The following is a 27,044-nucleotide window of genomic DNA, read 5'->3' as shown; positions in this document are numbered from 1 at the left end:
TAATTAAAGTACTTGGTGGTTACCCATAGGTGTGTGTGTGTGTGTATGTGTGTGTGTGTGTGTGTGTGATTAGCAACCACTTGGCAATGTATTCAGTATTGTTATTTGACAAATAAGGATGAGGAATTTTGAATTGGAAATAAGGATGATAAATTCCTCATGTACCTTTAAAAATACATCTTTTAAATGAACTCTTACTGAGAGAATAACTACTAAAAGTTTAATTGTAGTTTTTTATTATAATATTTTGCTTTGATTTTATACTAAAAACTGCCAACCAGATAACATCTAAATGTATCTTTTTCAATATGACAAAGTTACATAAGAAGACTCCCCTTGCACGTAAAGAAAAATGCAATTATTTTCTATTCTGAATCTCCAGACTGCTGTTTTAGAAAATCATATCTGATTATTTGCTCAGCAGAAGATTATTGAGTTGATTTAGCTGTGATTTTACTTAACAAAGCTTCAACTGCATTCCTACTGTGGAGTCCGAAAAAGGTAGAGAGATATAAATGATACATTCAAACTGTGATTTTTGTGAACAGGGCCATCGATGCACCCCTCGGAGCTAATAGCGGAGATGAGAAACAGTGGGTTTGCACTGAAACGAAATGTACTGGGGAGAAACTTGACCGCAAATGATCCATCACAGGTAATGATCTTTTTATCAGTAAGCTGAAAATGTCTATAAATCTAAATGTGATTGCTTGTGAATTGCTACTTAATGTTTTCCAATATGCATATATCCATAGGAAAGTAAGATAGAGCAAAGAAAATGCCCAAAATGTGTTTTGATTTTGCTTTATTATTTTAATCTAAATGAGAAATTGTTTATAAACCTGTATTTTAATAAATGAAACTGCTCCTCTGAGTTTATGTGGATAAAATATCTAACTGAACTGGTGATGAGGTTGTTGGTTTTTCCTTCCTGCTAACTTACCCCTGATATGACATTAAATAGAACCAATGGTTAGAAGTATGTAAAAACTCCTAAAAATTGTAGAAAATATTTTAAACTTATTTATTTTATTAAACTATACATAGATCCAGAAAATGATTGAGTTTGAAGGGCTATATTATTATATATTTGATAATGTGCTGTTGAAATTATAATAAAAGCTAAAATTGTGGATATTTTGACATTCCTGTAAAACTCATAATCTTCTTTTTTATATTTCATTAAATTAAAAATAAAGTATTTAAACTGGCAAGAGTTAACATTCAAGAGATAGAGAATGGAAGTCATGCTCTAAACATTTTATCTGTGTGTGTCTATCATCCTTTTCCTGGAAAAGTTTCCTAATGCTGGCAAAGCAGTCATGTTAACCTCTTAGTGCTGTATGATCCACTTCGGCAGGGAGACTACAAAAAAATTTTTTAATTCTCTCCCACTTCCCAATCCAAAATATCATATTCATCTACAGTGTGTCCCTGATACAAAACTTATTTATAAATGTTTTCTTTTTTATCTACTAACTACCTTGTGTTGAAATCTAGCAATTTAATGATATCTTTGTTGACTCAGGAGTATGTTGCAAGTGAGGGTGAAGAAGATCCAGAAGTTGAATTTTTAAAGTCACTAACAACCAAACAAAAACAGAAACTTCTCAGGTAATTTAGAAGTATATATTTAATAGATTTATTTTTTCCTTAGTATTCATCTCAGTATCGTATTCAACTCTGATCCTAAGAGCTCATGAAGGTCCTTATACCATGCATCACATTTATTGATTATTCTTCACCCATAGCTAATACAATTTTGTCTGTCTTTTCAGTAACATGGAAATGAGTGTAAGATTGTATACTCAGATTGTACCACAAAACGATTGCACTTTTCAGAATGTTTAATTTAGAATTAGACTTATTTATAGCTTTTACTTTTCAAAATAGATTTGTGTGTATCTTCGCACACAATTTGTTCTTAGGAAACATTTTTGGCCATTTTTAAAATGTTTTGTAAAATTTTATGAGAATGCAGAAAGAATGCTTAAATTTAAGGTAAACGTGAATTTTGTTAAACAGACTACCTCTGAATTAAAAGAATCCAAGAAATGTCTGCTGGGTCCAATAGAGGGAGCTCATGATGCTTTCAGTATGTAGAGTTTTGAGAATGGCTAGACAGAACCTAGAGACTTATTTTCAGAGTAACTCAAACATACCATATAAACAAGTTACTCCTCCAAGAATGTGAAGTACTCTAGAAATTCAGAATGTTTTAATAGGATTGTCCTATTTATAAAACTAAACAATTGTTGAAAACAAGTATTAACTATATTATTTTATAAAACCAATATTTCAGAAGTTTAATGTGTACTCTTACTCAGAATTTCTGGAGAATATTCTCTTGAATTTTGATAACGTTGATTAATATTTATATACTATAAAATAGTACATAAAATTAATTTTTCATCTGATTATAGCTATATATTTGCTTTTTTAGTAGTTCCAACTGATGTTACACACCTTTCACAGGCTTTCTTTAGGATGACCCTTTAGAGTGCTATATAATTTCAACTCAGTAAGAATTTAACAAAAAAGTAGTCATTACTATTGAAGTATAGTCAGAAAATTGGCTTGATGCATTTAATTTTTTAATTTAATGTATTCACGCTTTGAATAATTTTAAAGGAAGAAAATGAGTTGTCATTTAGTAAACAATGCGTTCATATATGGATACCAGTTCTTTTTTTTTTTTTTTTTTTTTTTAAGACAGAGTCTCACTCTTTTGCCCAAGCTGGAGTGCAGTGGCATGATTTTGACTCACTGCAACCTCCGCCTCCCGGGTTCAAGCGATTCTTCTGCCTCAGCCTCCTGAGTAGCTGGGATTACAGGCAGGTGCCACCATGCCCAGCTAATTTTTGTATTTTTACTAGAGATGGGGTTTCACCATGTTGGTCAGGCTGGTCTCGAACTCCTGACCTTGTGATCCGCCCGCCGTGGCCTCCCAAAGTGCTGGGATTACAGGTATGAGCCAGCGCGCTCTGCCATGGATACTATTTTTAATAACTTCTAAGAAAATATATTGTTTGTTCATAACTTACAGTTGATGAAATAACTGTTTTTCACACAGTCTGTTACTGTTTATTTCCCAATTACAGGAAATTAGATCGACTGGAGAAGAAAAAAAAGAAAAAAGATAGAAAAAAGAAAAAGTTTCAGAAGAGCAGAAGTAAACACAAAAAACATAAGTCCTCTTCTTCCTCATCTTCCTCCTCCTCCTCCTCTTCCTCTACTGAGACTTCAGAAAGCAGTAGTGAGAGTGAGAGTAACAATAAAGAAAAAAAAATACAAAGGAAGAAAAGAAAGAAAAACAAGTGTTCAGGGCATAACAACAGTGATTCTGAAGAGAAGGACAAGTCTAAGAAGAGAAAGCTTCATGAAGAACTTTCTAGCAGTCACCATAACCGGGAAAAAGCCAAGGAAAAGCCCAGGTTCTTAAAACACGAGAGTTCTAGGGAGGACAGCAAATGGAGCCATTCTGATTCTGACAAAAAGTCCAGAACCCATAAACATAGCCCAGAGAAGAGAGGCTCTGAAAGAAAGGAGGGGAGCAGCAGAAGCCACGGCAGGGAGGAAAGGAGCCGGAGAAGCCGGAGCAGAAGTCCTGGTAGTTACAAGCAAAGGGAGACAAGGAAACGGGCACAGCGAAATCCTGGTGAAGAGCAAAGCAGAAGAAATGACAGCAGAAGCCATGGCACAGACTTGTATAGAGGAGAAAAAATGTACAGAGAGCACCCAGGAGGTACACATACTAAAGTGACACAAAGAGAATGAAGCAGAAGTAGAGAAGAAAGACTGTATGTGACAATTACCTGGGAATAAAAATATCTCCACTTTTTTATTGAATACCTTTAGCAAGGGGTAAATTATGTACTGTTGTCTTTCTAATAAAAAAGCTCAATTTTAATTTTTCATCTCTAGACTGTCAATTCAAGTACAAAACTACATGAGTACTATAAGAATGAATTTTGCAAATATTTGTAAGTAAGCTATTTTGGGGCTGTGGAAATATTTTCTGTTGGTAACTGTTTCTTGTTCCCCATACCAGATAAAAACCGCATATAACTCTGTGACATTTTCTTTGTTCTGAAACATCATTAAAAGAATGACAGTACATTGAATGGGTATAATTTACTTTTTTCAATTCAAATTTGTTATTCTAGGATTTGAATTTGCTTGAAGTGAATTGTAATAATTATTCAAATTCATTAGTATAAATTAAGGATTAATAAATCTTTAAGACTTTTAAGCCCCCTTTAGGTGTTTTGTTCTATAGAATAAGCTGTTTACATTTGGATAATATTAGTTTTCTGTGCAGGTATACAAATTACCTCAAACTTAAAACAGTCCAACGGGGCCAGGCACGGTGGCTTTACGCCTGTAATCACAGCACTTTGGGAGGCCCAGGCGGGCGGATCACCTGAGGTCAGGAGTTTCGAGACCAGCCTAGCCAACATGGTGAAACCCCGTGTCTACTAAAAATACAAAAAATTAGCTGGGCATGGTGGCATGCAGTGTAGTTCTAGCTATTCGGGAGGCTGAGGCAGGAGAAACGCTTGAACCTGGGAGGTGGAGGTTGCAGTGAGCCAAGATTACGCCACTGCACTCCAGCATGGGCGACAGAGTGAGACTCCGTCTCAAAAAAAAAAAAAAAAAAAAAAGCCAGGCATGGTGGTGCGCACCTGTAGTCCCAGCTACTCAGGAGGCTGAGGTGGGAGAATTGCTTGAACCCAGGAGCGGAGGTTGCAGTGAGCCAAGATCACGCCACTGCACTCCAGCCTGGGTGACAGAGCAAGACTCCATCTCAAAACAAAACAAAACAAAAAACAGTCCAGCTGTATTAACAGTTCTAGAAGTCAGAAGTTTGACATGGGCTAAAGTCAAGATGTCAATAGAATTGTGTTTCTTCTAGAGGCTCAAGGGGAAAATATGTTTGCTTGCCTGTTCCAGCTTCTAGATGCTGCCTGCATTTCTTGGCTCCTGGCCCCCCCTCCTCTGTTTTCAAAGCTAAGAGAGAGGAGTCAAGTCCTTCTCAAATCTAATCATTCTGACACTTTGCCATTCTGCATCCCTCTTCCAATTTTAAGGACCTTGTGATTACATCAGGCCCACCTGAAGAATCATGCAATAATCTCCCAATTTTAATATCAATGTTAATTCTATCTGCAACTTTAATTCCCCTTTTCTTTGTAATGTAACATATTCACAGGTTCCAGGGGTTAGGATGTGTACATCTATGAGGGACTATTATTCTGCCTTCCACAATTGGCCCTTCTATTACTGGCATACAACTATTAAAGATTTTACTTCATACCTGGTTGATCGTACCAGTGGTCCGTGGCGGGGGGCAGGGGGTAGATTTTCAAATGAAACAATGCAAACTGTTTTGATATTTCACCAGTATAGGTATATAAGGCATATTTAAATTTAGCTGCAAATTTTCCCTTGTGTTTCAAAGGATATGGTAAAGGAAAACTACAGAAAGAACTGGTACAAATCACAAGTAACATGCAGTTCCAAAAAACATAACTTCACATCTTGGACACAAGTTTTTTTATCAGTGTTCTATATTTTTTAACCATCTGCTATTTAATACAAAACAAATACTGATTAGATGGTTTTGATAGTTGGCAGTCACAATTTCATAAATTCTGTAGGAGTAACATTTGAAAGAAGTAAAACCACTCCACATCATCTGATTATGTCTTTGACTTGTCTGTGCACACACACAAAACAAGTGTCCTCTAAGAAAAACTTAAGTGAAGAGGTAAACAACCCTTGATTATTTAGATTTTTAAGACGCAGGGTGGGGGTGGGGCGGGGAGGAACTTGAATTCCTTCCACAGTATTGTTAAATAACTTACAGCGCACCTCAAAGATCCCTTCTTCACTTAAAAAAAAGCATGCATTTGAAATTGGTAAACACTGCTAATTTACACCTTGAGTTCATCAGTGTTGCAGTGATTATTTTCTACCTTATGCCTTTTTAGACTTTATAATTTTTATAATGTCAAAACCTATGCAATACTTACTACCTTAAAGGGTTTCTGAAGCAATACAGTGTTCATGAAGAGAAATGCTGAAATGCATCCTAAAATTAAAAATGAATTTAAAACGTTATTTCTTACACTTTTTTCATTTGACTCACAAACCGTGGTCCACTTTTTTAATGCAGATGAGATCTTGCTATGTTGCTCAGGCTGGTCTTGAACTCCTGAATTCAAGCAATCTGCCTGCCTCAACCTCCCAAAGTGCTGGGATTATAGGCGTGAACCACCATGCCTGGCCAATGTGGTCCACTTTTTATAAAGTGGCCATGAGATTTTTTTTAGTCTCTGATTTAATTATCCTTATTGTTAGGATTGAGAAACTATAAAGTACTGCCAAAATCTCCAATATTTTTAACCATCTAATTCTGAGAAAAAATTTCCATGTAGTTATGGAAGATGTTCATTTTGTTTGGCTTTCAGCCTTGGTCACCCAAGGGTGCTCAAAAGCCCTAACGAACTACCATTCTAACTGTAAACTTAAAAACGGAAGAGAGGCATTTTCACACAAAATCATACCATGATAACAAATAGCTTTAAAGAGGCTCAGTTAATGTGTTCCACATACCCTAATGATGGAAAATAATTTTTTAAAATAAAAATATTGGACATGTAATTCTACTTTTGTTTTGAAATATAAGGTAGAGACCAAGGAGATGAACCTCATAAGATGAACCTCATAATAAAAGGGATGTCTAGTACGTGTAGAGATTCCTCTACGTACCTAAAGCCTAAGAAGAATCCTCCACGTTTAATAAATCTACGACTTAAGAACCCAAACAAAAGTCCTCAACGGGGATATTTTTTAGAAAACCAGCCTGGTGAAATTTGTCATTCTTACCCTTAATAGAGAAGTTCCTTTAAAATCTTGGCACACTTACAAGTTTCTTATTTATCCATGAGCCTGGAACTGCACGAGGCATAGGACACATTTTGGAGGCATTTCTCCCTCTGCCTTCGCAGGGACTTTTCCCCTAACCTAACATTTAACATAACACTAACAAATTAATTCCTGTAGGAGGTGCTGTCGATTTATAAATAATCAGGAAATACCAAGTTGCTAGGTTAGAACTTGTTTATCTGAACGTCTCTGTGGTAAATTAGTCATAATTTATTTTAATAAAGGCCAAAATGGGCAGAGGTTTCTGCAGCATAGTGGCAGGTCTGCTTACCTTGCATTGTGAAGCGGAGATCTTGTTTTGAACCATAGGGCTGTAATCTTAAGAAAGCTTTTCATCTGAAAGGCTTGAAGAGACCTTTCTTGCTGTTCTTCCATGAGACTGCTTGCTGATAGTGAATCAAATCATTCCACGCTGCTGGGAGCAGGCGTTTCCCAGTTTTAATCACTGAACATTTCGTATGCTTTGGCATTGAAGCTCAGAGTTCAAAATCCACCTGAGCCATTTCACTCTTCTCCTTACCTAATGACCACTGGGCCAAGACGCTGGTGGAGGTAGCTCTGGAGGGCCGCAACTCCACACTCCGGACGTAAGACCAGGAAGAAAGTAGCATTTTTAGCTTCAGCAGCTGAAGGATATTTAAAAATCTTATTTAGGTTTTCTGAAAAAGAAAAGCTCTGCTATAGTTATCATTTCTTGAAAAGAGATAAAAGCATGCAATACCTGCAGGCCTTGGGAGCATTCTCTGATCAAAAAGGAGAAAGACCTTTAAAAAGTTGTGAGGAACAAGTCAGACCGGGGAAACTAAGGTTTGGGAAAGCGGGGGCCTCTGAAAGCTCTCCTACCTGATCGAGGCTCCTAAAACCCGGTTCCTGCTAATGGAAAAGGAAGAGGTAACTCCACAGCACCTTCCCCTTTCTCCTCCCTTCACGCCACACTTATCACCCCCAGAATGCCCAGAATGTAGCAGTAATGACGAAGATGTGCGGGACGAACGCGGAGAGCTGCCTGGAATGAAAAGAAACGCACCCTCCGGCCCGAGCTGCCCCGGAGCCGCCTTTCTCCAGTCCCTTGGGCTTGAAGGGCTTCGCGAGGGGGTGGACAGAAGTGGAGGTCCGAGGGCTCCTGGGTTGACAGAGCAGGGCTTCCCAGGAGGACGTCGCCCTAAACCTAAAGGAAGCCGGAATGGGGGTGGAGTAGGGTGATGGGATGAATCCTGGCTGAGGTCGCCCCTTCCCATCCTGAGGCGACGCCCCCCTGCGTGCTCTGGTGGTTTCCTTCTGGATGCACCGTCTGGCAACCTTGCGAAAACACCCCAAACCGAAATGGGGAGGCCGAGAAGGGGGGAGCGCACACCCTTCCTAGCAGATGCGCCTCCCGCGCCAGGAGGCCGCCCAACACCCGACCCACAAGGTGCGGCGGGGAAGGGTCGGGGCCTGCCCTCTGCGCGGCTCCCTCGCCCCCGTTGGCCCAAGCCACCCCCCAGAAGCAATTCTCAGGCCTTTTCGCTGGGGGCCCGCCCGCCGAGGGCCCTGCTAGTCCCCGCCTAAGCTTGCCGGGCCTCGGGCGCAGTCCCCCGCGCGGGCCGGACTCGCCTTCAGCAGTTAGGAAAGCGAGCGAATTTTTCTGGTCGCTCGGGCTCCACAGGTGAAGAGGGCGCTTTATGAAGCTCCTGGGACAAACATGAAGATATCAACTTTCGTCAGCAATCTGCAAGCAGAATGCGGACTGGGGCAGACACCCTGCCACTTTGCATTTCCTTTATAGATAAATGAATCACCCAGAAATGGTTACATGCCTGCAAAACAATGCAAAACCCCCAGTATGAAATTCTACAGGAAGAGAGTATAAGGGTCTTGGAAAATCTGGAACTCTTAGGGGCTGTGGTTTTCCGGGTCCTCGACAGCCGGCCCTGGAGGGACGTGTCCCCACGGACATTCTGAAACCCTTTCCTTAACTGGAGATGCAAACACACAGTCTATATTTACATCAACAATATATGGGGGAGGCATGTCTGTATGTATTTACCTCATACATATTTCTATACACTCCAGCGTCTGGGAAGGGTGGGGGGTAAATAACACTGAACGGTTAAAATTATGGAGAAGCGATAATAACTGATTACTAATTTGAAAGTAAACAAACAGGTGACTTTTTCAGATCAAATTCCTCCTTGTATCGTTACAATAAATATCTCTGAAGGAAGCTCTCTATTTATGTTGTCATTGATTAATTCTTCACTACCTCATTTGATTTCGATTTAGAACGATTTGATTCTAATTTAATTAGCATGTAATTTGGATGTACATAATTACTGTAATTATGACATTCAGGTAAGGCAGCTTTAGGCTGAAAGGCAATTTCAAATTTTCTAGCAACCTACTTTGTACTGGGAAATGGACAAGGACTTTGCGCCCTGCTATCCAAGTAGTAATTAGCACATCTTTGAAATAGGCAGTGCGGCGGGGTTTGTATTAAAACAGCAAATACAAACCCAGCCGAGTTACCCGCCGCAAAGGTGGCTGCGAGTCCCCGGAAACGCACTGCTTCTCCCCGGCGCGAGTTCAGGGAGCCCGGCACCCAGGCGCCTTGGCCGGGCTCTCGCGGCTGCGGGTGACGGCGCCTCCGCCGCCTCGGGCGCAGGGTTTGAAGGTGTCGCTTTTTAAATTAAAATACAATAAATACGCGCTGGGGGTGGGGGGCACAAAAATGGAGGAGGAGGAAGTCACTCCACGCAGTATGAAGACGGGCTGGGGTCGGGGAGATAGTGGACTGGAAGAGGAGGGAAAGGGGCGGCAGGGGGAGGACGATACGCTGAGAGGAGAGAAAATCGGCCAACGCCCCCAACTGTTACCCGATTTCAGATTTGGGTTTCAAAGGGAAAAGGAGAGGACAAAAGGGGTCGGTTTGCTCCAGGAGGGTGTGCGCACCCTTTGGGGAGGCCTCGAGCGGGGAATTTGGGGGCTTCTCGCCGCCCTCGGGGGCCCTGCGCGACCGGCCCGGCTCCTGCCTGCCCAGCCGCCCCCCGCGCCCCACTCGGGCTGGGGTGTCCGCCGGAGGACGAAGGCAATGCAGAAGGCTGCTCCGGCCCGCCTCGGGTTGGGGCTGCGAAAGCGGCGGGTCCCTTGCCTCCCTGATTGCCCACGAGGGGGTAGGGGGGTGGGATGGTTTGGTGGCCTGTTTGAATCGGCCTGGTTCCAGCCGGGCCCCGGGTAGTCCACGCGGGCCTCGCGGGCCGGGAGCCACGGATGCAGAGTCAGAGGGGTCTGCGTCCACAGCTGGATCCCCACATCCTGGGGTCCACGTCGCCGCCGACAACGCTTCAGCCCTCTCAACTCTTAAGTTGGAAGACCCTGAAGTTGCCTTGAAAAGGATGTTAAATGGACAATTCTAAGACCAGGGCCAACCGGTCGTTATTTTGTTTTGTTTGGATTTTCAGTTAGCACGTTCCAGAAACGACCCTTTTGCCCAAAAGCCACTGCCATGTAGTGCTCCCCACCCCCAATAGCAGGGCTCGTTCCCCGCTGGAACGCAAACTGTCGCGTTTCTTCGCAGGATCCTCTTGGTTGCTGCTGCTCGCGGCAAAAGCCGGTCTCCACGCGCTGACAGCCGCGAGCCGGGCAGGCGACGGCCTTTCCGCCTCGGAGCTCTAGGTGGCGCCAGCGAGCCGCACTAGCTAAGCTCCTCTTATGGGAATCAAGAGCTACTGTCAAACATAAAAGCAAATCAGAGTTTTCAGTTTTTTTAATGTGTTAAGAATGTTATTCCTTAAGAAAATTTGTAGCTAAATTATTCTCACTTAAAATAAACACTTAGTATACCAATTACACAAATGGGCGGGATTTATGTGAGATTTACTTCATCTGCATTTTTGTAGTGGAAGAGAGCCTTAGTGAATACAGATAATAGATGCAAATAAGATTAGAGTTAAAATAAATAAAGTTTCCATCCGAATAAAAAGAAATTCAATTTTACACGACTTGTAACGATTTGACGGAAAGTCCAGACGCACCATTCAGGTGCACAATCTAATCTAGTCAAAATAATGTTGTTTCCCTCCTCGAGGAAAGAAAATCTCTTTCTTTTCTTTTTCTTTTTCCTCATCAGGTAGAATCCAATTCATTCCAAGGGCAGAAAACTGGTGTCAGAAAAGGAAACGCTGGAGGATGGTGCGGATCGTGGCTGGGTGGGCGCAGGGCCGAGGAAAACTTGCTTTTCGTTCCTCTGTTGCGCTGGAAGCTATGGGACAGGAAATGCCAGGGAAACCGGGGGACTCGAAATCGCACTGCCCTTACCGGGCCCGGGCGAGACTCTGGGCCCCCAGGCCGCGTCCCCCGCCCCCACCGACCTCCAGGCCGCTACCCGCCTCTGAGCTTGGGCCCCTGACCACCGCCTCCAGCTCCTTCTGGCCCCTGAGCCGGAAAGGCACAGGCCTCTGGGGCCCCGAGGTGGCCCTGGGGAGGCGAGGCCCCACCGCAATTGGGGACCGAACTCGTGTTGTAACTGGCGGGATCTCGCCTCCCACGCGCGCTGTCTCCAATTTGGTCATCACCGGCCGGCCGGTCGCCACCCGCTCAGGTCAAGGTTCCCCGCGCCCCCAGGGGCGCCTAGGGCTTGGGGGAGGCCGGGCAGGGGGCCTAGGCCCTGTTTTCGCCTGTTGGCTTCGGCCGGGGCCCCGGGGCCCCGCTGCCTCTGGGCTCAGGTTCCGCGGACTGCTGTCTCCCGGCTGGACGCTCGGTCCGGGGCCGCCGCCCGCCGCTCCCGGGAGCCTGGGTGATGGACGTCCGCTGACCCGCGGGGCAGAGGCAGCGCACACAGGCCTTGATCACTGGCCTGCGGAGGGAGCCGCGCGGCCAGCGGGACCTGCACGACCGGGCCCTTTGATCTGCCTTTATTATCAACGAGAAACAAAGCTCCCTGGGCCCGACGCCCGGGCGCCCGCGTTCCTGGGGAGACCCACCACACCCTCTACTCCGCGCCGCCAGCCCGCGGCCCCCAAACGCGCCAGGCACCCTCTGGGCCTCCAGTGCCCCGGCCCGAAGCCCCTCCGGAAAACGCGTCCCTGCCAGCCGGCTCTCCGGAAGACCATCCCCCGACCAGAGGCGCTTAGGGAGTGGGGGGCTCCCGGTTATGAACAGCTTGATCGGGGAGAGAAAATGGCCAAAGTGAAGAAAAACTCGAGTAAGAAGAGCGGGGCAGCCTGGCCGCGGGGAGCTCAAGAAGGAGAAGGAAGAAGCCATTGAATGTCACGCTGCAAACTCCCTGCTGGGGACCTTCGTTCTGTTTTATCGCTACTTTGCGACTTGGTGTTTCAGAACAGTTTCCGAGAAAACATTTTGCTGATTGTTAATAACAAGAATTTATTTTTTCTTTCCTAAAAATCAAAATCTTCGCTCAAATTCCCAAGGCGGACAGTAATCAAAAATGGAAAAAAAAAATATGTTGGTGCTGACTTCGCTTGTATTTCCTCTTGTGTGGGAAATCTTTTAGAAATATTTTTATTCTGTAAATATGTACTTTATTTTCTAAATTAACATTTTTTTCGAATTGCGAAATTATCTCATTTACCAATTTTCTTTTTGTCTCTCCCTCTTTTCTCCCTCTTTTAAACTGGGGCTGTTAAGTTGGTGGTCAGAAGACAAAGAGAGTGAAAATAATTTTCATTTCAATAATTGCCTTCTGGTCAATTTAACTGTGCCTTATTTTGAAAGAGACTGTCTAAATGAGATTCCTGTCCCAAATGTGTTCCCAGGCCTGATCCCAGCCTTTAATTATTCCTGAGTTTTTTTCTTCAGAATAAGACGCCGCACTGAGTAATCACAAAGAAGTCAGAGAGCATCCTTGAACCTTTTCAGAAGCAGCGCCACTGATATTCAAATAACCTGCGAGGGCCATTTGACGGCGCGGGGACCTAGGCATTTCCAATTCACTATTTGCATAGATCAGCCGTCTTTGAAAAGGAAAGGAGCAGTTGTCTTCCATAACATTAAAAAGCCTAGTTATCAAATCAAGTGCTTAGTTTGGGGGCTTTTTAAAACGTTTACATTTTATCTCAGGTTGCCCTTTACCGTTTGACATGCAAATTTGGTGCAGTTAATTTAGACAATTAAAAAGATCTTCAAGGGAGCTTTGTCACAGAGAATATTTGGAGTTTTCCCCGCGGACCAGCTGAGATAAAGTTGGCCAGAACAAATGATGTCTAGGAGATTAATTAGATATTTGATAAGACATGAATCCCTAATAAGGGAATACAAGGCACAGGGGGCTGCTGTGTGCTCTAAGTCAAAATTAATAACATTTAACAAGATTTTCATTTAGGCATGAAATGTCTTTTCCGGGGTATTGACTCTAGCGATTTATTCCCTTGAGTTGCCTTCCAACATACAGGGCCTTGGGAGCTAAAAGACTTCTTTTTTTTTAAGCGTTTTCCTTTCACAGTTGTTTTTAAATCACTTTTTAAAAACAAACAAACCCACCAGAGTTTTCTCTGACCCCTCCCAGAGGTTTAGGCACCTCCCCAATTAAAGCTGCCAAGGACCTTTGCATTTTTTAGGCGCTCCAGAGTTTTAAAATGTCACCTTTTGAGAGCCTTCACATTAAGTAATACAACTACACGTCCTTACAACCCAATTTAATTTATGTTGTTGATATACAAATAAATAATTTTGACTTCTCAAAAACGTATATGTAGTATGGCTTTTATAACCCACATAAACTTTACATTACCTACAACTAACATTAAGGGAATTTTTTCCCAACCGAAAAAAAAATCGACCCACGAAAAGGTTATTGAGGGGGAAACAGGATTTTTAAAAAAGGAAATGTATTGTTCAGAGTCCTTTAATAATACCAAAATGAAAATATGATGTCAAGATTTTCTTGATACAGATAAACGCATTTAATTTCTTTAGATGACCTTAACTTACGTGTTTGTGAGTGAAATGATAACTCAACATTTTAAATATCTTTTACATATATACTGACTTTCACAAAGTGCATCAGAAAATTAAAAAAAACTCCCTGAATTTCAGGGATTCACCCAAAAAAACTCTATTCGAATGAACATTTACAAGAAAATAAAAGAGAACACAATCTTTTGAACCCTATTTATACAGATGTTATGAAATACAGAGAAACTGTCGCTAGACTTCCAGTTTAATTTCTCACCTTAAGCCTTTTGATGCTTCCTTTTTTAGGAAAAAAGTCTCATTGTAAGTAGATATCAGGCAGGACTTGGAGCATTTTATATATAATATAATCCAAACAAAGGGTGTTTTTATCGGTCCCGTTTGTTTTCAAATGTTCTGACAGTCCTTTGCTGGGTGGTGGCTTGTTTTTGAGAAAAGGAAAGAGACGGGTGTTGGAGGGAGGTGGAGAGTGGGCAAAGAGGGAGCCTTTCTATGTATTGCTCTTCGCTCGAGAAGTTTGGGCGAGTGGTATGTGTGTGCGCGCGCGAGTGTGCGTGCTTGTGGTTGTAGGTCTCCGGTGTATGTGTACGTCTGGGAGTACAGTTTTTAAAGTGTTTGTGTCGGAGGATGGTTCGCTTTTGTTTCCGGACCACGCGTTCGATTCTTATCCGGGCGCGGAAGGCAGAGGGGAGCTCCTCGCACAGCGGGCGAACCGCAGCCCGGGAGCCCTGAGCGGCTCCACCTCGCGCCCAGCCCGGGCCCTGGGGGCGTCACTGAAGCCCCTGCCCTCCCGCCTCCCGCTCGCTCGCCCTCCGAACCTCTCGTTCGTTCTCGGTGTCTCTACTCGCTTGTGTGCTCGCGCCTCTCGCCCGGCCTCTAAGAGTCGTTGGGGCCAGACGCTGCTTCCTTGCCTCCCGCGGAGGCCGCCGCCGCCGCCGCCGCCGCTGCCGCCGCCGCCGCTGCCGCCGCCCGGGCGGCACTGACGCCGGAGTCATGCAGGATGAGGTCGGGGGATTCGGAACGGGGCGTCTCCAGGTTGCTGGCGTCCGTGTCACTGTCGCTGCCCTTTTTGCCCCCGCCGCCCCCGTTGTGCGTCTTAATGTGTTTGCTCAGGTGGTCGCTGCGCATGAAGCGCTTGTTGCACACCGGACAGGCGAAGCGCTTCTCGCCCGTGTGAGTCCGCAGATGCCGCTGCAGCTCGTCCGAGCGCGTGAAGCGCTTGCCGCAGAAGAGCCAGTTGCACACGAAGGGCCGCTCGCCCGTGTGCCAGCGCAGGTGCGCCTTCAGGTGCGACGTCTTCCCGTACACCTTGCCGCAGCCCGGAATGTGGCAGCTGTGCAGGCCCTTGCGCCGCAGGCTCGCCCCGGCCGGGCCCAGCCGCTCCGCCTCCTGGCAGTTGGGGCAGTCGCAGGTGGCGCGGCCCGAGTAGCGGCGGGCAGAGCGTGCCGAGCTCCCCCCGGCGGCGGCAGCCGCGGCGCCCGATATCATGGCGCTGGCGGCGGCGGCTGCCACGGCGGCGCTGGAGTCCGAATAGGAGGGCAACACCGGCTTGAAGCCGTCCTGGGCCAGCAGGTGCTGGCTGGTGGAGAGCAGGTGGGAGGCGGCGGCGGCGGAGGAGCCGAGGCCCGTGGAGCTGAAGGCGGAGTGCGTGAGCGAGCTGAAGTCGGGGTTGTAGGTGCCCAGCTGCGAGTGCAGCGAGGCCTGGGGGGCGCCCGAGTGCAGCGAGCTCTGGAGCCCCCCAGCGGGGTTCTGCACTTCCAGCCACGAGCCCGGGCTGCTGTGCACGTCCCACCACGACGACGCCGCGCCGTTGGTCACCTCGCCGGCCGCCAGCGTCGAATGGAAGCCCGACTTGTACCAGGACTCGTACGGGTGCGCCATGCCCACGCGCGGGTACAGCCCGTCGGCTGCCGTCGTGTGCACCTTGGAAATGAAGGCCGACTGGCCACCCGCCTCCTGCGGGGACACCCCGGCCGCTGCCGCCGCGGCAGCCGCCGAGTTGGAGAAGAGGCCGCCGTAGTCGCTGCTGAAGGCGGACGACGTGGGCGACGTGGAGGCCAGGCAGAAGGCGCTGTTGGCGGCGCCCGAGCCGCCCGCCAGGCCGCCCGAGCCACGGCCCCCGGTGGCCACCGCGAAGCCCGAGAGGCTGGAGCCGAGGTTGCAGCTGGACGAGGAGCGCTTCCAGGGGTGAAAGCCGCCTTTGGCGAAGGCGCTCGACTCTGGCAGCGTCGTCAGCGGGCTCGTGTTGCCGATCTTGTTGCAGGTCGCCGCCAGCATGGCCAACGGGGTCGTTCCGAAGCGCGGCTCTTCCTAGAGTGGGTGGGATGGGGGAGGGAGCAAGAAGGAGGAGGGCAAGAGGAAGTGGGGGAAGAAACAAAGTGCACCCGTGAGCAGCCTCGTCCCCTGCGGCTGCTCCCGGGGGGTCCTGGCTCCCCGCCTCGCGCCTCCTCCCCACGCGCCCGCGGAGGAGTCGCCGCACCGGGCGCGGAGCAGGGGCGATCACCCGGGCGAAGGTCCAGGCGCCGGAAAGTTGCACTTCGCTGAGGCTATAAATCAAAGATGCCTCCGTGTTCCCCGCTGCAACCCTGCCTACAACCGGACTTGGGTTGTCGCCGTAAACCGGCTCATCTCCCAGAAGACCCCAAGTCGCCCTTCGGGGTGAAGCGCGAAGGTAAACACAGAGACCAGAGACAACAAACACCGGGTGAGGGCGGAGGCGGCCGAAACAGCTGCCAGGGACGGGCGAAACTTGCAGCTCTCCCAGGGTGGCTACGACTTGACTTTTCTTTTTTAATAGAAAACGTTTGGTTTTAAAGTTTACATACACACAAAAACAGCGATTATGAAAACAATAATCCGAGGATAAGCGGCCAGAGACAGATTTCAAAGTCATGGGCGAATTGGGGAGCCGCGGAAATGTAAATGTTTATTAGCGTGACTAGATGGACTGCAAAACGATTAAGACTGTTTTCTGGAAACACCATTGTCGCATAATTGCAACAAAATCCCCAAAGCAATGCGGGGGATGGGGTATAAATCACGAGGGGAAGAAAAGAAACCTCTAGCTTTTTTTTGAAACCAAATGAAAAAGGACTTGATTAAGAAGGCCTTTTCTTGCAAAGGCATCTTTCTGGGTTCCAAAAACTTGGGGAAAAATCAGTCCCAGAAATGTGGAAAGTGCTAATAGAAGCTGAAGCTGCAGTCTAGCAGCAACAGTTTCTCCGGAGCCGCAGACCCCAGAAGCCATAACGAAAAATTACTCCGGTTAAAACAAGCAAATGCGTTGCCGCGCTTGCGACTTACCCCGAGTATAGACGTGGCCATAGCAGGTCTCTGGCTGCGCAGCGAGGCTGGGAGCGGGGCTGAGCCTGGCGGCTGCTCGGAAAAACTGCTTGGGTCCCGCGCGGCTCCCGCGTCCCCGCGCTCGTGCCGAGCGGACTCCAGGCTCCCGCCGGCTAAACTCAGCCTAAGTGCGAGGAGCACCCGCTTTGAAGTGCCGCTGGCTGCGCCTCTCGCCCAATGAGGGCGCAGGCAGAGCAGACCGGAGCTGCCCCGCAGCCAATCAGACGCTCCGAGGGGCCCGAGCCCGGGCTCCCGGCGCGTGCCAGTCAAGTCAGCTAGCTAGGGCCGCGGGGGTGGGGGGGAGTAGTGGGGGATACTTGCGGGGGGGGGGCGAGGGCGGGCTGGGGACTGAAGAAATTACAGTGCAATTAAAAATTTACACTCACGCACCAAGCCAGGTTTAAGTACCAATGAAACCGAGCCACAAGCACCCCCCCACACACAAACCACCCCGAGATGTTGCAAGTTAGGGCTGACAGTCCTACTCGACTCCCCACTTGTAGGAAAGGAGGCAGGAGGGGAGGAGACACCCAGACACAGCCCGCACCAGCAGGGCCCAAGTGGAGACGGAAATGTGAGCCCTCACTTTGTGTGTCCAGGCTTTTGCCTACAGAACACAACTTCAGCTTGTATCTATCATTCTTGCTTGTGATTTTTATCATTTTCGTGTGTCTTCTACCCAATTCCTTATTCCACTAGATTCAATTTCACTCTCACAGTTATACTGGGGAGGGGGCGCGAAGGGACAGCTCCTCCGAGAGGAGCGAAATAGGCCTCTCTGTACAGATCTACATCCACAGATTTGTTGGGAGGGCCTGGAGCCTGCTGCATCCCGCCATTTCCCCCCAGCGGTGTAAGTGACTTCCTAATTGTCGCTCTGGCCTCTGACCCGGGGGGTAATACAAGTGCCACTCACGCTAGAGGCTTCTGGTGGTAATTGAGGGCACCCTTTGTACGGTTTCGCCAGCGCTTAGATACCAGGTTAACCCAGTTGTCAAATATGACTAAACAGTGGGATGTGCTGATTATCTGCCGGGTTTTGCTGTGGGCTGGCATGGGGGTGGGAGGCATCAGCCCATACAACACGCTGCACGAAGCCGCTTATTTTCTCACTGTAACAACTTTGGAAACAGAGACCGGCGCGAGCGGCGTCCGCCCCCACCTCCACCTCCGCTGAAGCTGCAGCTTGCTCGGCTGTTTGTTTAACCCGGTGAAGATTTGCATGTCGCGTTTCATCCTGGAGTGGAGTTTTCTTGTCCCAGCTCCAACCCACTCCCATTCCAGACCACCAGGGCCTAGAGGCTCGTCCGTAGGGCAAGTGCGCTGTTTTAAGAGGTAGGCTCCCCATTAGTGCCCTGCTTTCACGGACGCGCCCGAGAAATCTCTCCAGGACTTTCACCCGGGAGGGCGGAGGACCAGGCCACACGTGGGCGCTTCCACATTTTGCAGGCTGGAAGCATCCTGAAGTCCTCCCTGGACCTTGTCAGTGTGAAAAGAGGCGTCCTCAAGCAGACCAGGGTGCGTCTTCGAGTCCCCCAGCAACCGCTGACCTGCTTGTTTTTCTCTTTCTGGGCCCCGCTTTCTCTTTCTTCTCCAGGGTAGCCAGAAGCTGTTTTTGAACCAGAAATACCAGCGCCCTCGGGCAGACCTGGGCACTGGTTTTAATATAGCACACTCCCCACTAAACCCACACCCTGCTTCTTAGGAAAAAAAAAAAATTAAACTACCAACCCCAAACCCTCGGGTGCAAACGACGAGTTGTCGCGGAGCCGGTGCAAGTGACAAGGATGTGGAACTGTGCCTCCCGTGTTTTCTCTCCTCTTTTGCAAGATCTCTTGACCCAAAAGTACGACCAGAGTGGCGCTGCTCTCGGCCCTGTGATGGAGCCTGGGTGCGTCTTGGCGCACTCCGTGGGTGGGGAGGGCTATGTGGGTCGCTTTCTTGGATTCATCTTAAAATACTTTGGCTCAGAATGGGTTTTTTTTATTTTATTTTTTTCTCTTTTTTGTTTAAGGTGGCGAAAGCACCAAGGAAATTATGACAGAGAAAGAGAAGGAACAGAGGAGAAGAGAAAGAGAAGGAACAGAGGAGAAGAGAACGAGAAGGCTCGTGTGGCTGTCAATGAAGTGCTGTGCCCTGGGAGACTGTAGTGGAAATGGGGGTGGGGAGGTGTGAAAAGTCCCTGAGGGACGCTGGGTGGAGGGCTGAGGAGAAATCAGGCCGCCTAGAAGAGCCGGAAAGCCCAGCAGGGGGACCCGGGGGCCGTTCCCAACAGGTGACTTCTGCCCTGGAAGAAGACACTGGTTCTCGGCTTCCCATAGAGTCTCCGCGTAGATTTACTAATAGAGGGATTGTTAAGTGGCAGCGAGGCGTTTCCTACTCACCCTGTGCAGCCGAGGAGGAGAAACGCAGAGGTTTCCCCAGTCCACCTCCTCCCCCACCCCCAACACACCCTCTCCTTAAGGAAACCTGACAAAGTAATAAATAAGACAATCCGAAAAGCCACTTAGCACTAGTGACATTTTCAAGCCAACCATTTAAAACAGTTCTCGCAGACACCTCGGGCTCCGGCGCCCTGCTCGCCTTCCTCTTCTCCTCCTCCCCTCGGATCCCCTCCCCTCCCCCTCCCGCCGTTTTCCCCGTAGTTCCAGCTGTCAGACTCTAGACGTGGGCACTCGCATATTCCTTTAGATACACGCGTCTGCATCACAATAAAAGTTAGGGAAATCTTCCAAACGAACGCAGGCAAACACCCGGGCCACTTCAACTCTAAGGTGGGGCCCCAAGGAAATCTTTCGGAGGAAGTCCAGATTTTTTTCGTCTGACAGATTTTTTTCATCCTCTAAAAAAATCTAGTTTTTAAACAAAGATCAATGTGTTATGCTAAAGTGTTGAGCTGACTGTTAAAACATTTGGGGAAATAATGACAATGTAACAAAGGCCTGGTTTGGAGTGAATCATCACCCTTTTAAAAGTTAAAGCAATTTTCAGGAGAATAGCTTTCAGCAAACGCTTTACATTATTCAAAACGGCCAAATAATGCTCTATTATAGCGCCTGAATGCTGCCAGTCAGCCCCTAAGTGCAATTTGTGCAAAGGCCCCGGTGCCTTATCTCCACTTCTTTATAAAGAGGTGAATATAAAACAATTTCTTCCAAACCCAGACAGAGAGCACGAAAATTGCTTCCCTTTCTGCAATCAGGGCAATTTAACTGGAGTGCAATTAGCACTATTAAATGTCGATTCTGCATAAACAAATCTGACTGAGCAGCGAAAGTGGGGTGAGAACCTCATATACACTGAAACTGATTTTTTAAAATTATGTATCCGGGTCCTTTACAATTGATCCGTGACGTTTTCATCTTGGAATATATTTACATCATAAATACACTATGGTTAAACCAACATAATTTTTTTGCAAAAAAATTCAATACGATTCCTAATAAAGAAGAATAGGGTAATTAAAGGGAAGAGTTCACTTCCTTTGAACAAATATTGTTTCTCCCATCTTGCCTCTCCCGGGAGCTTTGATCTGAGCAACTGCTCAAGTTGCTCTGTTTAGCAGGCAAAGCCAGGGAAACAATTCGGTCATTAGCGCTAATCGGAAGGATTGGACCTCCTTCACAGGTCCAATAGCCACAGATAAAATGCTTCTTCCTGATGTGCAGGAAGCGTAGTGGCGACTGGGAGGACCAGTTATTTTCTGAATAACTGGATATGTAGTAGCTGGTTAAATATTAGGTGGCTGCCCAGTCTCCCCGGAGCTTTGACCTAGCACAGAGTCTAGCAGCGGGTATACACCACTGGGGTGGGGTGAGGTTGGGGTGGGGTGAGGTGGAGTTAGGGGGACTCCGGAATAAGGTTGAAGGGGAGGCGTTAGGGGAGGAGGAACGGAAGGTGCTCGCCTTGGCCAGGCTGGCTGCAGTCAAAGTCTGGACCACCGGGACCAGGAGGCGGGGGTGGGGGTGAAGGGAGCCCAGCCTATAAAAAGCATTTATCTGACCTGTCCTCCCAACTGCCTTTATTTATTTGCAAAGCCACAGCGCTCCTTTTTAAATCATTTGTGCAATTAATTATGCTTTTCATTTGCATGATCTTCACTAGAGCAGTGATTATCAGGTCAGCACGGTGTGGGAGTTGCGGAGATACATTAATAACTTGAGTTAAAAAAAGAAAAAGCTGCCCTTGTGTACCAATGTTGCCTGCCATGAACAAGGGAGAAGGAAGCCCAGGAAGGTCCATAGTGCCTGTTGAGTCGGGTGAATCCTTTCCACGGTTGGTGTCTTGTCAGTGGTGGGTGAAAATGAAATACAGCCTTTGATTAGCAGGGAATCTTTTATAGTTGACACATATTTATATTTTTTAAAGCACCAGTTGTTGAGATCAAATGGATGGAGAAAATTAATTGAAAATTGAGGAACTCTCCCACAGTTTCTGTTAAGCTTTCCTTTAATATTTGTTCTATAATGTCCTAATTCCAGCCCAACCCTTGCAAATGAAAGAGCAAGGAAGATTCAATAGGCCAATGGGACTTTCATCTTTTTTTTCTTTTTTTTTTTTTTTTGTATCTCAGAGGCGTCACTGCTATTTAGCAGTGGTAGAAGATGCAAATCTTTCTTGCCTCTGTAGGGTCTGCTGAAGAAATTGAAAACCCCTAGTCTATTAAGCACAGTCCAAACGTTTGTTACACAACTAATTTTCTGCTGTTAGATGTATCTGGGCCATATATTTTAAGCTGGCCTCTATGTGTTTATCTGAGCCAAAAATGCATTAACAATTAAGGGAAAGACTGGTGTGTCAAAGGAAGGAAGGTGACTGTAGACTGTGTGATGATTTTAATGACTGCAATTATTGGAAGATTATTCAACAAGCATCATAGATTTGTTTACTGCATCACTCGGAAACTATGGGGGGCCTATTCAGCTTGGGGTTTTACTTTCCTCCCTCCCTCACCGACTACCACAGAAGGGTCTTAGACCTAAGCAAATGTGGCATTCTGTAGTGGCTTTCTTCTTTTTAAGAGCATCTCTTCCAAAATGATGCACATGTATTGTCTCAGCCAACTCTAATGGAACCACCTTTGGAGACACTAAAGCAATTTTTTTGCATAGACCTGAACTAATATCAAGAAAAGCCAGAGGCCAGAGGATTCTGATCATTACTCAGCTTCTCATAGCTAGGGTACCAGTTTCCTCAGTTTTACCCTTTCATAGGCAGATTTGAGGAGGCTTCCAACTCTTTCCTCCTCCATCCAGGGCTTGGAGAAGGCACTACAACCACAAGATGTTAAACAGGAGTGTAGGCATACCTCCAGGACACTCTGGGATAAAGGATGGCTTTTCCTTCCTTCCCTTTAACACACCCCTCCCCCATGTTATTTCCTATCCCAACTCCTGATGATGCTAAAAATAAGTAAGTAAGAAGAAAAGGTATGGCTAAAAGCATATCAGTTTGTGACTAAGGAAGTTGTTACTGTAAATACAGACACAGGGATGCAAGTAAGGCAAGTTTCTTGCCTGATATTAACAAAATGATCCTCAGTCCACAGTAATCTATAACTTGTGGCATGGGCTTTGCTCATTAATCAGTGACTGATTTGGAAGGGAGATTGCGGGAAAAATGAACAGCAAATATCCCCACTAACACCCCCTTTCTTCCCTCCCCTGTAGAACTGAGACCGGAGCGACCATGCCATCTAGATTTTCTTCCTGGATTCTGTAGTCGCCCAAACTCAGGCTTAAGGTGGACTTGGCTGGAACCTTCCCTCTTCAAATCTGAGCCTGCAGGAGTCTGCAAGTGGCAATTAGGAGACTATTACAAGCCATTAGATTGATCAATGTACCTTAAACAATGCGAATGAATTATATGACTGATTTATATGGGGAAGAAAAAGAAAGCAGTGGGGGAGGACGATTTCATCTCCTTTACATCCACACGCTGTTCTGGAGAAGAACCGGGCCCAGCCTCTAGTTCGTCATAGCTTAGAACCACCCGAGCGATTTATCTAGAAAACTTTTCAAGCAAAGACAAGGTCCTCTCGGCTTGTCCGGTGGGTGGCGAGGTGCACGTTTTCTGCCCCTCTCTCCGCTTCCTAAGAAAGAGCTTAGAAAGACCAAGGCCCCGAGGGGCGGCGGAAGGTCACAGCGACGCCACTCCGCTAGCCAAGGACACCACCCGGAGCGGGCCCAGCTGCCTCCTTCCCTAGAGTCTGTCCCCAGAGAGGGGGAGGACGACTTACATATTTGTTTAACGGAGTGTTGGAGAGCTGCGTGGCCTCCTAATTACGTCAAGAACACAGAACCATCAGCCCTTGAAGTTTCCAGCGAGACTTCGGAAGGAGCGGCGACCCGGCTCCAGGCGCGAGATGACGCTGGGGGTGGGGAGGGAGGGTACTCCGTGGAACGGAACTCCAAGCTAGGGCTGGCGGTTCCAGCTAATCTATCTGGCGAAGACAAAATTACAACAGAGCTGGAGCGATCAAAGCAGGCCCCCGCCCCCACCCCCACCCCCGCCCGCCCGCCTTCCCTGCCCAAAGTCTGTTTGTAGTTGTCTCCTCGGCTGCAGACACACTCGTCCATCTTCTCACGACAAGGAAATTCCTGCCAGTTTTTCCAGAGCCTGCAAGGAGAAGACAAACGCACTTCACCCGTCCCAGAGGAGGAGGATTCCCTTTGTTTAACCTCCTCCTCCCACAGTCGGCCTTCAGCTCTGAAATGGGGGAGGGGGACAGGGGATGGAAAGACCCTGGGCGGGGAAGGGCGGTTATAACAGAACCCCGGGTCCAACTCTGCCTTGCTGGTCCCTCCTCTTCCTCCTCCCTCTTCTCTTTCCAAGCTTCTCCCTCCCTCCCTCTCTCCCTCCCTCTCTCCCTCCTTCCGATCTTCTAGATCCTCTTCCCACCCAAGTCCTCTCCTGGGCTCGCGCGCCCAGAGCCTGGGCAGGCGCTGTTTATTTCCCGGCCTTCGTGGTTTGGCGGGAAAGGGCTTCGTCCTGGCTTGTTCTTGAGTGTCTGGGACAAATCCTTTTGTTTGTGTCTAAATGTGGAATGAGAAGCCTTCCAGGTTGATAATGGGGCTCAGACAGAAGAGGGAAAGAGCAGAGAAGCAACACGCATGTGTCTTTTGCAGCCAGTATGCGATGTTAGTCCAGGGTTTGGAACCCCTTCCAGGTGGATCACGGTTTCACACACACACCCAACTGTGCTCATCTGTCTTTTATTACCCCATGTTCCACTCTCCTGGGTTCTTTTCTTAGTTCCTTTCAGCCCTCTCCTTCCTAGAACCTCTTCTCAGAACCCTACAGTTCAGTGAGAGGGTGAGAAAAAAAGATACATCCTAAAACTCCCCTCGAGGAACGAGGCACCCCCGTGACATATCCGGAAACAGGCCAGCCCTGGGCCGACACGTCCATCCTTTCTTGATTTCGGCCACTGTAGAGCCCAACTCTGACAGGCTGGACTTTCCTGTCACACCTACCGATGTCAAACCCACGCCCTTCCAGAGTCCAGATGGATACCCTCCGCCCTGACCCGCTTCTTGGAACATTGACTGAAGGGTATATACATAGGGGTAGAGGAAGGCTCCGTGCACTTTAGACACGTGCGCCTCCCCCTCGCCCTGCTGCCACATGCAGAATGTACACTGATGACAAACAGACACACTTACCAGGGCACATGCCAGCGGCGTCCATCCTCCTTCCCGGCCAGGCATCAGCAAGCGAGACGGCCTTGAGGCAGGTGCCATCGCCACAGGGAGAGTGGCTCCGAGCTCCCGATGTCTCCCTGGGAGTCGAGGCATTCAGGTACCCCAAAGCCAGTTTCGAGCCTCCCGGGCGGGGTGGCCGAAGACCTTGACGAGGCTGGGCGTCCCCCTCCGCCTCCCGCTGTGCTTCCGCGCTGCTTCCTGCTCTGCACTACCTCCGCCGCCGCAACTGCCCAGCGCCCCTCTCTGAGAAGCCCTCTGCCTGCTGCACGCAGCCCATAGGTTCCGCTACATCTGGGATGCATTGCCCCTTAATTGTCAATCCCATTATTGTGATCAAGTGAACGTTGCTAATCTCTACATTTATTGTTTAGGTAAATAGAGGCTGCATTTAATCAATATGCAGGGCCCCAGCCCTCGCAGCGCCAAGTAACTTAAGTCAACGGTGAAGATTTCAGTGTGTGCATAATTACAGAGCTCGCGGAATCATCGGTCCAGCTCAATTCCACGTCTCTTCGCCGACCTGGGGGAGGCGGAGGAGGGAATGGGAGGAATCTCCATCCTCCAAGGGGTCGAGGGCCAGCTCCTTCAGGGCAAGTAAATGACTTCGTGGAGGTGACACCGCGCGCCTGGCCCGCGCCCTCGGCGGAGCGCCCTGTGAGCGCGGGGGCCTGAGGCGGGACTGGGGACTGCCCCCAACTTCCGAGCGGCAGAATCTGGCGCTTGGCGCCCCGACTCTACAGCTTCTGGACCTCTCCCCTCCCAAATTTGCCTCAGGAAGGAGGGTGGTTCCGCGTTCGGCAGGTCCCCGGCAGGCGGGAAAGCGGGGGCGGGGCTCTGGAGGTGGGTTGCCCCAAGTTCGCGACACCCTGCCCCAGCACGCAGGCTCCCTCCTCTCCTCCGCAGCTGCGGGGAGCAGCAGACTTCCTTGCCCGCGGGGAACTCCCAAGAATCCCACGATTGGGCGCGCAGAGCGCGGGTTATTTGCGCTTCTTCTTAAATAGCTATTGTTTCCTAATTTAAGAGGACCTTCGCCGGGCTAGAACGTCAGGGATTCGCAGCAGGGGGTGGGCGGGTCTGGGGAGATGGGCGGTTCGCGCCGGCGAGGGGTGGTATCAGCTCCTTACAGTAGCTTGGCTCCCGGAGTGGTGTCAGAGTGAGGGCCTCTTGGTCTCGGCGGGGAAAGGGTTAGCTGAGAATCTTTCGGGGGGCGGCGGAAAGAACCCGACCCCCGCGACACCCTGGAGTGGGGCCCAAGAAGCTGATCCTCAAGTTTGAGGCGCCAACACTTCTCTTTCGGCAACTCTGTTGTCGCGAGTTTCTCTTTCTTCTGGTTCCTCTTTCTCTGCTCCATTCCCGGACAAGTCGGACGTAAACAACCAATAACTTCAGTTGTAACCAGACACCCCCCTTGCATGGAATTGTCCGGCTTTATGTAAGCAGGATTCTAAGGTCAAATCATTTGACAGTTTAGGGTGCCATTGCAACCTCCCAACTAAATTACAGCTGAAGTTTGAATATAAGGGCCCTTGGTATTTGATGGCAGCTGGCTGTTTTTAATTTTCGGAATGGAACAGTTTTCGTATAAGGTATCCCTCCCTGCTTTCTTCTTCCCTTAAGTTGAACAGCATTTGGAACAAGGGGGAAATGAAACACAAATATCGGTGCAATCCTGAAAACCTTTTTCTCTCTATTACTACATTCAGAGCCTCCCCTCTGCCCGGCCCAAGCTACTCCCAAGCCTGTAACTCTCCTCATCAGTTGGGCAGACCTCTTACCGCTGGGCTGCAAACCAGTGCTGCCTCTGCCTCTACAAGACAGATAAATACGGCGTCAGACTCTTTTTTTTTTTTTTTTGAAAAGAGTCTCACCCAGTCGCCCAGGCTGGAATGCAGTGGCGTGATCTCGGCTGACTGCGACCTCCGCCTCCCGGGTTCAAGCGATTCTCCTGCTCCAGCCTCCCTAGAAGCTGGGATTACAGGCGCCCGGCACCACGCCCGCCTAATTTTTTGTATTTTTAGTAGAGACGGGGTTTCACCATCTTGGTCAGGCTGGTCTCGAACTCCTGACCTCGTGATCCACCCACCTGGGCCTCCCAAAGCGCTGGGATTACAGACGTGAGTCACCGCGTCTGGTCCAGACTCT

The 27,044-nt window shown here is 48.2% G+C and overlaps 2 protein-coding genes and 2 long non-coding RNA genes across 4 annotated transcripts in view, besides 7 other annotated features; 2 read left to right on the top strand and 2 right to left on the bottom strand.

Moving 5' to 3' along the window:
• Window positions 1-4,252, top strand: part of CIRSR (corepressor of RBPJ and splicing regulator) — a 47,691-nt gene extending 43,439 nt beyond the window's left edge. The window contains exons 8-10 of the mRNA NM_004882.4: window positions 549-655; window positions 1,529-1,614; window positions 3,102-4,252. Coding sequence (NP_004873.3) covers window positions 549-655; window positions 1,529-1,614; window positions 3,102-3,777 — 869 coding nt within the window. The 3' untranslated portion in view covers window positions 3,778-4,252. The remainder of the gene's footprint in view (window positions 1-548; window positions 656-1,528; window positions 1,615-3,101) is intronic.
• Window positions 10,399-10,693: a silencer, noted in NCBI's record as "tiled region #8106; K562 Repressive DNase unmatched - State 4:PromP". NCBI's record gives its function as "represses a minimal TATA promoter and a strong SV40 promoter by Sharpr-MPRA in K562 cells {active_cell/tissue: K562}" and the evidence as "EXISTENCE:reporter gene assay evidence [ECO:0000049][PMID:27701403]".
• Window positions 12,107-13,739: an enhancer, noted in NCBI's record as "VISTA enhancer hs953". NCBI's record gives its function as "enhancer in: neural tube[13/13] | hindbrain (rhombencephalon)[11/13] | forebrain[10/13]" and the evidence as "EXISTENCE:transgenic organism evidence [ECO:0001131][PMID:17130149]".
• Window positions 13,774-17,320, bottom strand: SP9 (Sp9 transcription factor). The gene is made up of 2 exons (NM_001145250.2): window positions 17,161-17,320; window positions 13,774-16,167 (listed from the first exon to the last, which is right to left on the bottom strand). Exons 1-2 carry the CDS (start codon window positions 17,179-17,181, stop codon window positions 14,734-14,736), a joined length of 1,455 nt encoding a protein of 484 aa, NP_001138722.1. The 5' UTR covers window positions 17,182-17,320; the 3' UTR covers window positions 13,774-14,733.
• Window positions 15,179-15,388: a silencer, noted in NCBI's record as "silent region_12125". NCBI's record gives its function as "represses an Ori minimal core promoter by ATAC-STARR-seq in GM12878 lymphoblastoid cells {active_cell/tissue: GM12878}" and the evidence as "EXISTENCE:reporter gene assay evidence [ECO:0000049][PMID:35858748]".
• Window positions 17,298-19,280, top strand: LOC102724194 (uncharacterized). The gene is made up of 3 exons (XR_427194.5): window positions 17,298-18,534; window positions 18,649-18,717; window positions 19,214-19,280. It is a non-coding gene; the product is annotated as an uncharacterized LOC102724194 (long non-coding RNA).
• Window positions 19,888-20,959: an enhancer, noted in NCBI's record as "VISTA enhancer hs860". NCBI's record gives its function as "enhancer in: forebrain[5/9]" and the evidence as "EXISTENCE:transgenic organism evidence [ECO:0001131][PMID:17130149]".
• Window positions 21,631-26,247, bottom strand: LINC01305 (long intergenic non-protein coding RNA 1305). The gene is made up of 3 exons (NR_038897.1): window positions 24,864-26,247; window positions 23,438-23,817; window positions 21,631-22,989 (listed from the first exon to the last, which is right to left on the bottom strand). It is a non-coding gene; the product is annotated as a long intergenic non-protein coding RNA 1305 (long non-coding RNA).
• Window positions 22,874-23,689: an enhancer, noted in NCBI's record as "H3K4me1 hESC enhancer chr2:175193313-175194128 (GRCh37/hg19 assembly coordinates)". NCBI's record gives its function as "activates a minimal SCP1, AML or CMV promoter by ChIP-STARR-seq in naive H9 embryonic stem cells {active_cell/tissue: H9 hESC(naive)}" and the evidence as "EXISTENCE:reporter gene assay evidence [ECO:0000049][PMID:30033119]".
• Window positions 25,326-26,143: an enhancer, noted in NCBI's record as "H3K27ac-H3K4me1 hESC enhancer chr2:175190859-175191676 (GRCh37/hg19 assembly coordinates)". NCBI's record gives its function as "activates a minimal SCP1, AML or CMV promoter by ChIP-STARR-seq in primed H9 embryonic stem cells {active_cell/tissue: H9 hESC(primed)}" and the evidence as "EXISTENCE:reporter gene assay evidence [ECO:0000049][PMID:30033119]".
• Window positions 25,739-25,858: an enhancer, noted in NCBI's record as "active region_16771". NCBI's record gives its function as "activates an Ori minimal core promoter by ATAC-STARR-seq in GM12878 lymphoblastoid cells {active_cell/tissue: GM12878}" and the evidence as "EXISTENCE:reporter gene assay evidence [ECO:0000049][PMID:35858748]".
• Window positions 26,248-27,044: the final 797 nt, after the last annotated feature.

This window comes from Homo sapiens, chromosome 2 (genome assembly GCF_000001405.40).
Source record: "Homo sapiens chromosome 2, GRCh38.p14 Primary Assembly".
NCBI lineage: Eukaryota > Metazoa > Chordata > Mammalia > Primates > Hominidae > Homo > Homo sapiens.
This window is presented reverse-complemented; position numbering and strand designations above follow the sequence as displayed.

Coding starts and splice junctions, on each gene's coding strand:
- SP9 (NM_001145250.2), bottom strand. CDS start 17,181: ATGGCCACGTCTATACTCGGG. Junction 16,168..17,160: donor TGGCCACGTCTATACTCGGG/GTAAGTCGCAAG, acceptor CACCCACTCTAG/GAAGAGCCGCGCTTCGGAAC.